The 15,384-nt window shown below is 32.9% G+C and overlaps 1 annotated feature.

Annotated features, from left to right (window-relative positions):
* Window positions 9,798-9,967: an enhancer, noted in NCBI's record as "experimental_66130 CRE fragment used in MPRA reporter constructs". NCBI's record gives its function as "activates a minimal promoter by MPRAs in K562 erythroleukemia cells, with activity observed for both the introgressed and non-introgressed 3:162472376 variant alleles {active_cell/tissue: K562}" and the evidence as "EXISTENCE:reporter gene assay evidence [ECO:0000049][PMID:34662402]".

Consider the following 15,384-nt stretch of genomic DNA (forward strand, 5'->3'; position numbering starts at 1 on the left):
ATGAAATACAATGGGCATACAATGTATAATAATCACATCAGTGTAAATGGTGTTTCCATCACCTCAAGCATTCATCAATTATTTGTGTTGTGAACATTACAATTCCACTCCCTGTATTATTCAAAAATTTACAACAAATTATTTCTGACTGTATTTATCCTGTTGTGCTATCAAATACTAGATTTTATTCATTCTATCTGACTAGTTTTTGTATACATTAACCATTCCCATTTCTCAATGCCCCCACTACTTTTCCCAGCCTCTGGAAAGTAGAATTGCTTTTCTACTCCCTACCTCCACGAGTTCAATTGTTTTGATTTTCAGTTCCCCAAAATAAGTGAGAATATGCGAGGTTTCTTTTTCAGTGCCTGGCTTTTTTCACTTAAAATAATGACCTCCACTTTCATTCATGTTCTTGCAAGTGACAGATTCTCATTTCTTTTTATGGATACATAGTGCTCCATTGTGTATATGTACCACATTTTCTTTATCCATTCATCTGTTGACAGACACTTAGGTTGATTCCAAATCTTAGCTATTGTGAATAGCACTGCAATAAACAGGGGAGAACAAATATTTCTTCAAGACACTGATTTTCTTTCTTTTGGGTATATACCCAGTACTGGAATTTCTGGGTCATATGGTAGTTCAATTTTTAGTTTTTTGAGGAACCTCCAAACCATTCTCCATTGTTGTTGCACTAATTTATATTGCCCTCAGCAGTGTACTAGCATTCTCTTTTCTCTTCATCCTCACCAGCATTCATTACTGCCTTCATTCATACAGCATTCATTACTTTTGGATAAAAGCCATTTTTACTGGAGTGAGATGTTATCTCACTGTAGTTTTGATTTACATTTCTTTGGTAATCAGTGATGTTGAGCAACTTTTCATATACCTGTTTGCCGTTTTGGGGGGTTTTTTTTGATAAGTGTCTATTCAGATTTTTGGCCATTTTTAATTGAATTATCAGATTTTTTTCCTGCTGAGTTGTTTGTGCTCCTTACATATACTGGTTATAATATTAGTCTGTTTTCACACTGCTTATAAAGACATATGCAAGACTCAGCAATTTAGAAAAGAAAGAAAGAGGTTTAATTCCACTTACAGTTCCATGTGGCTCAGAAAGCCTCACAATCATGGTGAAAGCAAGGAGGAGCAAGTCACATCTTGCACGGATGGCAGCAGGCAAAGAGAGAGCTTGTGCAGGAAAACTCCCCCTTATAATAACCATCAGATCTCAGGAGTCTTACTAACACAAGAACAGCATGGGAAAAACCTGCCCCCATGATTCGATTACCTCCCACCAGGTCCTTCCAAAAACACATGGAAATTGAAGATGAGATTTGGTTGGGGACACAGCCAAATCATGTCAGTTATTAATCCTCATGCAATAGATACTTTGCAAATATTTTCTCTACTTTTGCAGGTTGTCTCTTCATTGTTGATTGTTTCCTTTGCTGTGCAAAAGCTTTTTAATTTTATGTGATCTCATTTGTCCATTTTGCTTTGGTTGCCTGTGATATTTGAGTATTACTCATGAAATCTTTGCCCAGACCAATATCTTACGGAGTTTTCCCAATGTTTTCTTAGTGATTTCATAGTTTGAGGCCTTAGATTTAAGTGTTTAATCCATTTTAAGTTAGTTTTTGTGTATGGTGAAAGATAGGGGTCTACTTTCTTCTGAACTATATTCCAAGCACCATTTATTGGAGAGACTTTCCTTTATCCAATGTATGCTCTGGGCACCTTTGTCAAAATGAGTCTATTATAGATGTACGGATTTGTTTCTGTGTTCTCTATTCTGTTCCATTGGTCTATGTGTCTGCCTTTATCCCAGTAACAGGCTGTTTTTTTTTTCTGTAGTATAATTTTGTTTCCGTAGTGTAATTTGAAGTCAGGTAATGTCATTGTTTCACTTTTCTTCTTTTTGCTCAGGATAGCTGTGGATATTCTGGGTTTTTTTGTGGTTCTATATAAATTTTAGGATTATTTTTTCCTATATCTGTGAAGAATGTCATTGACACTTTAATAAGGAATGCATTGAATCTATAAATTGCTCTGGATAGTATGGACATTTTTACAATATAGATTCTTCTAATCCATAAACATAAAATATATTTCCATTTTTTAATGTGTCCTTTTCAGTTTCTTACATCAATGTTTTACAGTTTCCTTTACAGAGGTCTTTCACTTATTTGGCTAAGTTTATTTCTAGGTATTTTGCTTTATTTGTACCTATTGTAAATAGGATTACTTTTTTTTTTTTTTGATACAGGGTCTCACACTGTTGCTGAGGCTTGGGTGCAGTGGTGCAGTCATGGCTCACTGAACCCTCAGTATCCTGGGCTCTAGTAATCCTCCTACCTCAGTCTCCAAAGTAGCTAGGACCACAGGCATGTGCCACCATACCTGGCAAATTTTTAAAATTTTTTGTAGAAAAAGGCCTCACTATCTTACCCAAGCTGGTCTCAAACTCCTGGCCTGAAGTGATCCACCAACCTTCGCCTCCCAAACTGCTGGGATTACAGCATGAGCCACTGCACTCAGCCTGGGATTACATTTTTGATTTCTTTTTCAGATTATTTGCTGTTAGCATATAGAAATGCTATTTATTTTTGCATGCCGATTGTGTATTCTGAAACTTTACTGCATGAGTTTATCAGTTCTAGTAGTGCTTCAGTATCTTTAGGTTTATCTAAACATAGAATTATGTTTTCTGGAAAAAAGGATAATTTGACTTCTTCCTTTCTAATTTGGATGTGTTTCATTTCTTTCTCTTGTCTGATTGCTCTAGCTAGGACTTTGAGTACTATTTGGAATAACAGTGGTAAAAAGAGGCACTCTTCTCTTGTTCCATATCTAAGAGAAAAGACTTTCAGTTTTTCTCCATTTGGTATGATAATAACTGTGGGTCTCTCATACATGACTTTTAATACATTAAGGTATGTTCCTTGTATAGCCAGTTTTTTGAGTTTTTTTTTCTTAAATCATGAAGAAACACTGAATTTTACAAAGTGATTTTTTCAGCATCAATTGAAATGGCCATAGTTTTTCCCTTTATTCTGTTGATATGATATATCACATTGATTGATTTGCATACATTGAACCATCCTTGCATTTCTGGGATGAATCTGACTTGGTCATGAGGAATAATCTTTATAATGTGTTAATGAAATTCAGTTTGCTAGTATTCCGTTGAGTATTTTTGCATCAGTGTTCATCAGGGATATTGGCCTGTAGTTTTGTTTTTTTTTTGAGGTGTCTTTGGTTTTGTTTCAGGTTAATTCTGTGCTCATATAATTTGTTTGAAAGTATTCCCTCCTCCTCTATTTTCTGAAATAGTTTAAGTAGGATTGCTATTACTTCTTTAAATGTTTGGTAGAATTCAGCAATGAAGCCATCAGTTCCAGGACTTTTCTTTGCTGGGAGACTTTACTGTGGCTTTTATTTTGTTACTTGCTATTGGTCTATTCAGGTTTTGGATTTCTTCATGGTTTAATCTTGGTAGCTTATATGTGAATAGAAATTTTTCCATTCCTTCTAAGTTTCCTAAGTTATTGGCATATAGTTGCTCAGAGTAGTTTCTAATGATCCTTCAAATTTCTAAGATATTAGTTTTCATGTATCCTTTTTCATCTCTGATTTCATTTAAATCTCTCCTTTTTCATATTCTGGCTAAAAATTTGTCAATTGTACTTACTTTGCATAAAAAGCAACTTTTAGTTACAAAAATATTTTGTATTGTTTTCATTTCAACTTTATTTCTGCTATGACTTTATCATTTATTTTATTCTACTAATTTTGGGTTTGATTTTCTTTTGCTTTTCCAGTTCTATAAGATGAATTATTAAATTGTTTGTTTCAAGTTTTTCTGCTTTTTTAATGTAGGCACTTGTAGCTATTAACTTTCCCCTGAGTACTGCTTTTGCTGTATCCAATAGGTTTTGGTATGTTATGTTTTCATTTTAACTTGTTTTAAGAAATTATTTCATTTTCTTTTAAATTTTTTACTTGACTCACTGGTCATTCAATAGCATATTGTTTAATTTTTATGTGTTTGTATATTCCCAAATTTTTGTTATTCATTTCTAGTTTCATTCTGTTGTGGTCAGAGAAAATATTTGATAGACTTTTAATTTTTTAAGACTTGTTTTGTGGACTAACATATGGTCTATACTTGATAATGATCCATGTGTTGAAGAAAAGAATGTGTATTCTGCTGTTGGATGAAATGTTTTGTAGATATCTATTAGGTCCATTTGATCTATAGTGCAGATTAGATCTTTGTCACTTTGGTGATTTTATTTCTGGATAATCTGTCCAATGCTGAAAGTGGGGTGTTGAAGTCTCCAGCTATTATTGTATCGTGTTCTCTTTTGTTTCAGTAATATTTGTTTTATGTATCTGGGTACTTCAGTGTGGAGTACATATATCTTTACACTTGTTATGTTCTCTTGCTGAACTGATTTTTTTTACCATGACAATGACCTTTTTTGTCTCTTTTTATAATTTTTTCTTGAAATCTACTTTTGCTTACATAAGTATATCTACTCCCATAACTTTTTTACTTTCCATTTGCATGAGATACCTTTTTCCATCCTTTTTTTCAGTTTATTTGTGTCTTTATAGTTGACATGCATTTGTAGGCAACAGATTGTTGGGTCTTATTTTCTTTATCCATTCAGCCACTCTGTCTCCTTTGATTGCATAATTTAGTTCATTTACATTCAATGTATTATTGATAAGTAAGAACTTAACTTCTACCATTTTGTTATTTGTTTTCTGGTTGTTTTGTGGTCTTGTGTTTCTTCCTTGTTCCCTGTCTTCCTTTCTGTGAAAGTGATTTTCTCAGGTGGTATGTTTTAATTTCTTGCTTCATTTTGTGTGTGTGTGTGTGTGTGTGTGTGTGTGTGTATCTATCGTAGGTTTTATGATTTGAGGTTAGCCTGAGGCTTGCAAATGACAAAACTTGTTATTTTAAACATACAACTTAACTCTGATTATACAAATTAGCTAACAAGAAAAAAGAAAACTAATAAAAACTCTAAACTTTAACATCATCTTCCTATTTTTTGACTTTTTGTTGTTTCTATTCATATATTATTACACCATCTATGTCTTAAAAAGTTGTTGTAGTTATTTTTTTTGATAGGTTTGCCTTTTAGTCTTCCCACTCAAGATATAAGTAATTTACACATCACAATTACAGTGTTATAATATTCTATATTCGTCAGTGTACTTACTGTTACCAGTGAGGTTTTTACCTTCATATAATTTCTTATTACTCATTGAAGTCCTTTTCTTTCAGAATGAAGAACTCTCTTTAACGTTTCTTGTAGGACAGTTCTGGTGTTGACTCTTGATCTCTTTAAAATGGAAATGTGTGGCCACTATGGAATCATCAATAGCCACAGGGCTGTTCAAACTTTGGTTAACTATACCTATTCTTTTAGGTATGATCGAAGGAAAGGAGATGTAAATCCCCTTTGCTTAGGTCAGATATTTTATATTGAGGTCACTTTCTATGAGATAAAACAGATAATGCTTAGCTTCAAGAAACAGATACACCAATGATTTTCTCTTGGATAAATCATGGCCACCAAATCAAAGGAAGTGCATGCGAGTTTATGTGGCAAGGAAAGAGTGCTCAAAGAAAGCCATAGGAATTTAATTCTTTCTATTTGGATGCTTTCTCAACCCCCAAACTTCCTCTTGATCATTTTAAGTTTGTATGTAGATAGAAAATATTATATGTTAACCAATCTTTAAACATTTTCTTTGTTACTAGAAATAATTATAAGCATGAATACCTTTTATTTAATCAGGGATAACCCCTTATGTATCCTAGTATTTGACTTGTTTATAACATTAAATATATAAAATATAAAGAGTCAGACTAAGTGAAGCTGTTTTTAAGAATTCATACTGTCACGCTAGTAATGCCAGCACTTTGGGAGGCCTAGGCAGGTGCATCACCTGAGGTCAGGATTTTGAGACCAGCCTGGCCAACATGGCGAAACCATCTCTACTAAAATATGAAAATTAGCCAGGCATGGTGGCAGGAGTCTGTAATCCCAGCTACTTTGGAGGCTGAGGCAGGAGAATCACTTGAACCTGGGAGGCAGAGGTTGTAGTGAGCAGAGATTTTGCCAATGCACTCCAGCCTGGGTGACAGAGTGAGACTCCTTCTCAAATAATAATAATAATTCATACTCAAACTTCTAAGTTAATGCTTATGGCTCTCCTCAAAATAGGGGACAAAAAGTTATTTACTATAAAGAACATTCAGTTAAACTGTTCTTATTTCTAAGACTATTTTTAGATTATGATTTTGGAAGTGGAACACGGTAAATACTAAGAAAACAAGGTAAGGATGAAAGGTAGCTTCCACTTTGAATATAATCACGCTACTAGAAGTTTGATTAATTCCCAGCATATTGATATGTAATAATCAAACCAAGTGATCTCATATTTAGCTCTTCTATTTTTAATTTTTATTATAACATTAATAACTATAACTAGAACCAAAATACATAATAAACCATGCTTCATTATATTTTTTGAATAACTATGTTGAGCTTTATCTTATACTGACAAATGATTAGTTCAACTGTTTGGTGTTTTATTGTAACATTTATTTTCAATTCGATGTTAGTAATCTAATTTCTTTATACAATGATGATACTTCTTGAAAAAATTTTTTCATAAAGTCTATGAGTGTAAGAATGAACTTAAAACATCTAGTTTTTCATGAAATACCTATAGATATTCAGCAAGGAGAAATAGATATTTGATGAAAACTTGATGGAAAAGGCCGTAGGAAAACCCAGTGATTGCAATTGCATAAAGATAATGAGGTTATTTTTCATTCCTCACTTTTTGCTGGTATAGAAGCTATAAATGGAAAAAGAAAGACCTCAGGAATAGTCATAGGTCATTAATCACACCTAGAAAATATTTTTGCATCTCTAACATATGCATAATAACAAGTTAAAAATATTTGGAAATACAGCAATGATTACATGGGTGCATTTTTAAAATGTATAGTGCCAGACTAAATTGTGGCCATAGCTGTATGTTTTTTCATCTTCCTGATCAATTATTTTTACCATTTGACAAAAGTTTAATTATGTTACACTAACAACACATTTGTACAAAGACAAATTTACAAACTGCCTTAGCAAGAAATTATTCAGAAACATTAAACAAAGAGAAATTAAATGTTTTTTTAGATAGATTGCTGTCTAATTTGATCCTAAGTATTTATCCTGCATAGAATATATTGCTTTTAAGCAATGGTATATATCCTAAATATCACAATAGACAATTAAATTGATTATTTTAATCCTTGGTTCCAGTACAAAGCTGTTATGTTTTCTTCATCAGTTTGAACTTTGCTACCCTTAATGATAATAATATTGCTAATAATAATAATTGGAAGCATATATTGCACACTTATAGTATGTCGGCACTGTGCTAAAAAATATGTTATTACACTTTATTCTCACCATGATCGTGGCCAGGTGAGAAGACTCCAGCTTACAGGTAAGCCTTAACTTTTGCTCACATAACTAGTGAGAAACAAAACGGACCAACACAAAGTCAAATATAATGATTAAGAAAACTATACTAATGAGTATTGAACCCATCTTTGCAAACATTATAACTGAGACAATTATTACAGTGAAAGACACCTGACTTAACTGACTCCATCTTGTTTCTAATCTCCAAACTGTCCTTGTTCTTTCCTGGGTGTAGGCCAAACTAACTCTAGGAGGAACTTGGTTTATGTTTTAGCTTTGAACTAAAGACGACAATGGCCCTTTCCCAAAGTAAACCTCCTTCCTGGGGACTAGACTGCCTTTGCAGGACTAACAAATTATCCACAAGATTAGAAATTATGGTTTAGGGGTAATGGAGCTGGAGGTTGCAAGACTCTGTACCTCCCCAAATTGCTTTTGGGGATAACATTACTATTGTAAAACCTAAGATCAGTGTTTGAGATATTTTTCAGACCCTGCACTCAATGGATCAGCTGATACCACCTGGATTGATGAATTGGCTCATTTGGTCTTGTGGCCCTCAAGAGGATGGCTGCAACTTCCTATGATTTCATCTCCAACCCAACCAATCAGAAGTCCCAACTTACTGGCCCCCTATCCACCAAATTATCCTTAAAAACTCTGATCCCTAAATGCTTGGGGAGATTGATTTGGGTAATAACAAAATTCCCAGTCACCCACAGAGCTGGCTCTGTGTAAATTACTCTTTCTCTATTGCAATTCCCCAGTCTTGATAGATTGGCTCTGTATAGGGAGTGACAAGCGGAACCCACTGGACAGTTAACAGTACATCTGAAAACTTTCAACATAAAATTTATATACTAAAATCTAATGTTAATTTCAAAGTTTTCAAAGAAACATTGTTTAAATAAATTTTCCTCCATTTTTATTTAAGTTATGAAAATAGATAGATTCTACCTTGGAGTTACATTTTTGTCTACCTTTACACCTGAAATAGAGACAAAAAAATAAAAATGAAAGCTCACATAAGAATTCATAATGACAATCACCTAAAATTACATAGATTTGAGGCTTAAACTGACACTGCTTGTGAAGTAATTTAAAATCAAAACACCTGATAGGACATATCAAAGACAACATATATCAGAGCCTATGACAAAATGTGAGAAGGGTGTTGTACCACTGTGGTCACTTTCGCTAAAACCTATTAGCTCAGTGTAACCATGAGAAAATCATCAAACAAACCCAAATTGATGAATATTCTACAAAATGCCTGACCAATACTCTTAAAGAAAACTGCCAAGATCATGAAAAGCAAGGAAAGCCTGAAAAGCTGTCACAGAGCAGAGGAGACTGAGGAGGCATGATGGTTAAATGTAGCATGGCATTTAGAACAGGATCCTGAACAAAAAATGAACAGTGGTGATGAAGCTAGTGAAATGTGAATAAAGTTTGGAGATTAATATACCAACGTTGGTTTCTTAGTTGTTACAAATGCACCATAATAATGTAAGATTTTAATAAATGGAGATACTGGGTACGGCATATGGGACCTATCTTTTCTATATTTATAACATTTTCTGTGAATCTAAAACTATCCTAAGATGCAAATATATATATATATATTTTTATTTTTATTTTTATTTTTATTTTTTTGAGACAGGATCTCACTTTGACACTCAGGTGAAGTGCAGTGGCGCGATCTCGGCTCACTGCAGCCTCGTCCTTCCAGGTTCAAGTGATCCTTCTGCCTCAACCCCCCAAGTAGCTAGGACTATAGGGTAAGGCCGCCACATCCAGCTAAATTTTGATTTCTTGTAGAGATGGGTTTTCACTATGTTGCCCAACTCCTGAGCTCAAGCAATCCACCTGCCTCAGCCTCTCAAAGTGCTGGGATTATAGGCATGAGCCACTGTGCCCAGCTCCCTAAGATATATTTTTTATTAAAAAAAAAAAAAAAGCTCAGGTTTACAGTAAAGTTGAAAATAATTCTGAGTTTGTAGAGCCATACCTTTTTGGTAGAAGCAAAATTAAATTCTCTGTTAAAATACACAATCACAAATCAGGCTTCAAGTGTGCCCACAGAAAATATTCAAAGGATACATTCACAAAAAAGGAGAAAAAGTCCTGCTGTGGTGGCTCACACCTATAATCCCAGCACTCTGGGAGACCAAGGTGGGAGGGTCACTTGAGGCCAGGCATTCAAGACCAGCCTGGGCAAAATAGCAAGACCCCACCTCAGAAAACATAAAATAAAATAATTTTTATAAATTTAAAATTTTTTAAAAAGGAGAAAAAAAATCAAAACACAGAAGAAGGCAAAGAGCCTTAAGTCACAGTCTTCAAAATTAAGAGCGGTTATTGGATTTATCAGATACATAGTATATTTAGTTGAATGGAAATGTTTCAAGTTTCTTATTTCCAAATTTCAAGATCATATATTTCAACATAATGTAATGAATATATTTACATTAAAAAATAAAAAAGATATTGAAAATAGGATAAAGAAAAATTTATCAATAGAAAGTGACCAGATAGATCTGTATAAAAAACAAATTTAATTTCTAGAAAAGAAAATATTATTCAATGTGACAACTAAATTATTTAAACAGAAGACTAGACCCAGCCAAATATCAAATTATTGAATAAGAATTAAGAGTTAGATTATTATATGAATGCAGCAGAGTAAAATAAAGAGGCAGAACTTATAACATGGTAGTTAAGGGTTATGAAGAATGAAAAAGGGGGAAAATGTCTATCATAACCCTAAAGAAATTACCAGAAGAGATGAAAATAAGGAGATAAGAAGTAGAATATTTGAAGAGATCACATTTAAAAAATGTTCCCAATTGATGAATGACAATATGGCAGTTTTGTGTTTGGAAATCACTGTGAATCTTGAGGAAAATAAATACTAAAAATCTATGTTGTGGATTCATTGAAATTTTAGAACTCCAGAGAAAAAAAAAATAAGAATTCTAAATTTGCAGAAAGAAAAGAATGGCAATTTGATAATTCTTATTTTGACAGAACGGAAGCTGAAGATAATGAAATTATTTATTTAAAATGCTTAAAATATTATACTCCAGAAATCTAAATCCCATAAAACTATTTTTTTTTCAATGGAATGTTTCAGTCAAAAACTATGGATACATCATTGAGAATACTATCAGGAGACACTTGATAAAATTACTTTTGCAAGATGTATTTCAGGAAGATGGTAAATGACCTACAAAAGAAGGATTGACTTGCAGGAAGAAATGACATGCAAAATAAAATGGTAAACATGAGAAAAGATAGATGAGCCTGACATTTACAGAACAGTAGTAATAAATCATAGTTGGTGGTCAGGTACAGTGGCTCACGCCTGTAATCCCTGCACTTTGGGAGGCCGATGTGGAAGGATCTCTTGAGCTCAGCAATTCAAGAGCAGCCTAGAAAACACAGTGAGAACCCTAAAAAAGAATTAGCCAGGCAAGATGGTGGGTGATTATAGTCCCAGCTACTCAGGAAGTTGTGACAGGAGGATCACTTGAGCCCAGTAGTTTGAGGTTGCAATGAGCTGTTATGGTGCCACTGCACTCCAGTCTAGGCAACAGAATGACACTTAGTCTCTGAAAAATCAAATCAAAATAAAATTTAAAAGATAAATCACACTTAGTAAATTTAAAACAAAATTAAAATAATAAACCAGAAGGGTTTATTGAGTTAGTTGAGAAGTGAGATGCCAGACATAATAGCAATTTATTTACTATTTTTTAGGGGGTGAACTAACTTTAGATTCATTACCCTAAATATGTGTATTTAAATTTATAACATAGCAACAGGAAAAATAGAAAAGCAGTGTATAATTTTCCAAACAGTGAAGGTAGTGTGGAATCAAAATTCAATTCAGAAATTGACTAAAAACAAAATAAGAGAAAAAGAGGGAAAAGAGCACAAATAACACAATAAAAATTAATCTAAATATAATCAGTAAATATATATGTCTAAACTCTCCAGATAATAATTAAAAATTGTCAACTATATGCTGTTTGCAAGATACAAACATAAAACATAAAAACATAGCAAATATTTGAAGTCAAATGGTGGAAAAGTTGTGGAATTTTTAACCAAATATCAACTGTTAACAAAATGTTGGTATCAGACAAAAATACTTCAAGGGAAATCATTATAAGAAAAAAACCACTACATAATGATAGAATTTTTATTAGCCAGGATGACATAACAATTCAAAATATATTTCCCTCATAAAGTAACTTCAAATATAAAACACAAATATTAGTAGAACTATAAGAAGGAATTAATAAGTCTACTAGCATATTATGAGTTTAAAACAATTCTCTCAGTAAATGACAGCTCAAACATGAAAATTCAATAAAGCATACATTTAAAGAAATCATTTATGACTGCCATAATATACATGTATAAAAAATGATTTCACAACCTGAAATAACGTATGCTTCCTAAAGCACATAGGAAATGTTTTGTCAAATTTTAACCTATTAATCCAAAGAGAAAATCTGCACAATACACTAAGGCATAGGGACATCCAGACTACTTGTTCTATACACCAGATGAAGGCATTGAAAATCAATGACATAAAGATAACAAAGAAAAGATCTTTTACTTAAAAACTAAATAACAGATTTTAAAATAATACTGAATTTATATCTGCAAAATAATATACTAACACCCGTTTAAGTGTTATAACTACAAATATTTAAACAATCTTTACATCATTTATGATCATACCACTTTAAATTATAAAATAATAGACTATAGTAAAGTAAATTCACAATATAAATTATTAACTTCATGTAAATATTTTACCAAATTTCATAATGATAAACTGAAACTTAGCTATTTCAGTTTGTATATTAGTGTGTAAAAATATATTTATATAATAGTTACAGACAAATCAAACATAAAATTAAGGTTTATTTTTTCTATCTTGTCTAATCTATGATGAAGGTTTTAATTAAAGTCCAAATTAAATGTTTTATAAACAAAATTTCTCAAATGAAAATTATTTTAAACACTATTAATACATGTGAATATTTTTTCTCCCTTACAATAGCTCTAAATCATAATACCCTGTATAACTTAAAATTTATTCTAGGCGCTCTTCATTGAATTTTTGAAATAATTTTTATTCATTGAAAATGAGACAATAATATCATGGACACAAACATTTAAAAATTGGCCACACTTCAGTAAATCTTAACATTATGCCTTATTTGTTTTAGATCTTTAAGAAACAAAACCAAAAATTCAATATAAAACATACAAATGAGGCCCCATTTCCTCTTTCCTTTCCAATTTTGCTTTGCTGGGAGGAAATCAATTGAGCAGTTTTCATATTTTTGCTACTATGAACAAAACATGATGTTATGAACTTCTTGTGCAAATTTATTGAAGCACGTTTGTGAGTTCCTCAAGGTTGCGCACATAGAAGAGGAAATACTAAGCCATGGTGTTTGAACATTTTCACCTTTACTAGATATTATAGATACTGCTCTTGAAAAGGTTGTATCTGTGTTCACTCATTCAATAGTGTATAAGATTTTTTTTTCTTCTTCCTTTTCACTAACATTTGCTATTTTTTAGAGTTAAAACTCTGTCCAATAAAATGGTGGATAAATATTATCGTATCATGTTAATTTAGTTAACTACTTCTAGTTTGAGGTGGTTATTGTAGTTTGTTGCAGATCAAAGATGGTCACGAACTCTGAATCTGCTACCAATGTTGAAAAATAATAGTGCTAGCGGAGCTTCTGATCTTTTCTCTGACATAATGAATGAATTCTAGAAAGCTTCCAATTATTAAAATAGTTTCCCATGATTTTAGAAGACGTTTCATATAAGATTATGAAGCATTGTGTATGTGCACATTTTGCTAAGTGTGTATAATTAAAGAGTGATGACCGGGCGTGGTTGGGAGGCCGAGGTGGGTGGATCACGAGGTCAGGAGATCGAGACCATCCTGGCTAACACAGTGAAACCCCATCTCTACTAAAAATACAAAAGATTAGCCAGGCGTGATGGCGGGCGCCTGTTGTCCCAGCTACTAGGGAGGCTGAGGCAGGAGAATGGCTTGAACCCGGGGTGCGGAGCTTGCAGTGAGCTGAGATCTCGCCACTGCACTCCAGCCTGGGCGACAGAGCCAGACTCCGTCTCAAAAAAAAAAAAAAAAAAAAAAAAGGGATAAAATTTGCCATGTCTTTTCTATATTTATTTGTATGCTCTTCAGAGCTTTCTTCTTCAACCGATTAAAATGGTGCATTGCATTAATTTTCTACACTAAAGCATCCTTACATTCCTAAAATAACTGTCTTTAGTTATGATTTATCATACTTCACCTAATCTAGCATGCCACTGATTTTGAGGTTTTGTTATTTAATAAACCTCTAAGGAATAACAACAAAAATAAATAGCACAATTTAAATTACCCAATAATTTTGCATCATGCAGAAGTATTATTTCACACTTATTGAAGGATGTTAAATTTATATAAATACAGATTTGTTTTACTTATAAAACTTTTGCGTATGTAAATAAATAATTTTCTTAGTATATTTTATTTACTTATTTTACATTCTGAGTCAGATGTATTGTAGTAACAAACTAAATCACATATTTATCTATCTGTGGAAATTTTTATTTCTTAGGTCTCATAAAATACTTAGTTGTTTTGAAAACAATAGTGGTCATATCTTCAATAATAAATCTTTGCTTCGCACATATTTACAGTTATCCACTCCATAATGACATTTTGGCCAACATGCACATATGATAGTAGTCCCATAAGATTATAATGGTATTGAAAAATTTCTATCGCCCAGTTCTAATATGATATTGCAACATATTATTCACATCTTTGTGGTGGTACTTCAGGAGGTATTCTAGAAGTAGATACTATTATAATAGGCGATGATAGCTCCATGCATGTTATTGCCCCTGCAGAACTCCCAGTGGGACAAAATGTGGAGATGAAAGACAGTGATATTGATGATCTCAATCCTTTGTAGTCCTGAGCATATGTGTGTGTCTTAGTTTGTAACAAAAAAAAACTAGAAAGTAAAATAAATGAATAAATACATTTTTTAAACGGAAGACAAAAGCTTACAAAGAAAGATATTTTTATATACAGCTGTACAATATGCTTATTTTTAAACTAAGTGTTATTACAAGCCTGTAATCCCAGTACTTTGGGAGGCCTAGGCGGGCGGATCACCTGAGGTCGGGAGTTCAAAACCAACCTGCACAAAATGGCGAAACGCCGTCTCTATTAAAAATACAAAAATTAGCTGGTCATGGTGGTGGGTGCCTGTAATCCCAGATACTCGGCAAGCTGAGGCAGGAGAATCACTTGAACCTGGGAGGCGGAAGTTGCAGTGAGCCGAGAGCTCACCATTGCATTCCAGCCTGGGTGACAGAGTGAGACTCCGTCTCAAAAAAAAAAAAAAAAAAAAAAAAAAAGTTTAAAAAAATACAAAGTTTCGAAAGCAAAAAAGTGTCAGTAAGAAAATGTTATTATTGAAGAAAGAAAAATGCTTTTTATATATTTGGTCTAGCCTAATTGTACAGTGTTCATAAAGTTTACAACACTGTACAGTAATGTACTAGTCCTTCACATTCAGTCACCACTCACTCATTGTCTCAACTCCGGGAAACTTCCAGTTCTGCAAGCTCCATTCTGATAAATGCCTTATACAGGTATACCATTTTTAATTTTTAATACCATATTTTTACTATAACTTTTCTATGTTTACATACACAAATGCTTACTATTGTGCCACAATTGACCACAGTATTTAGGAGAGCAGCATGCTGTACAAGTCTGTAGCCAAAGAAC

The sequence above is a fragment of the Homo sapiens genome, chromosome 3 (assembly GCF_000001405.40).
Source record: "Homo sapiens chromosome 3, GRCh38.p14 Primary Assembly".
Classification (NCBI taxonomy): domain Eukaryota; kingdom Metazoa; phylum Chordata; class Mammalia; order Primates; family Hominidae; genus Homo; species Homo sapiens.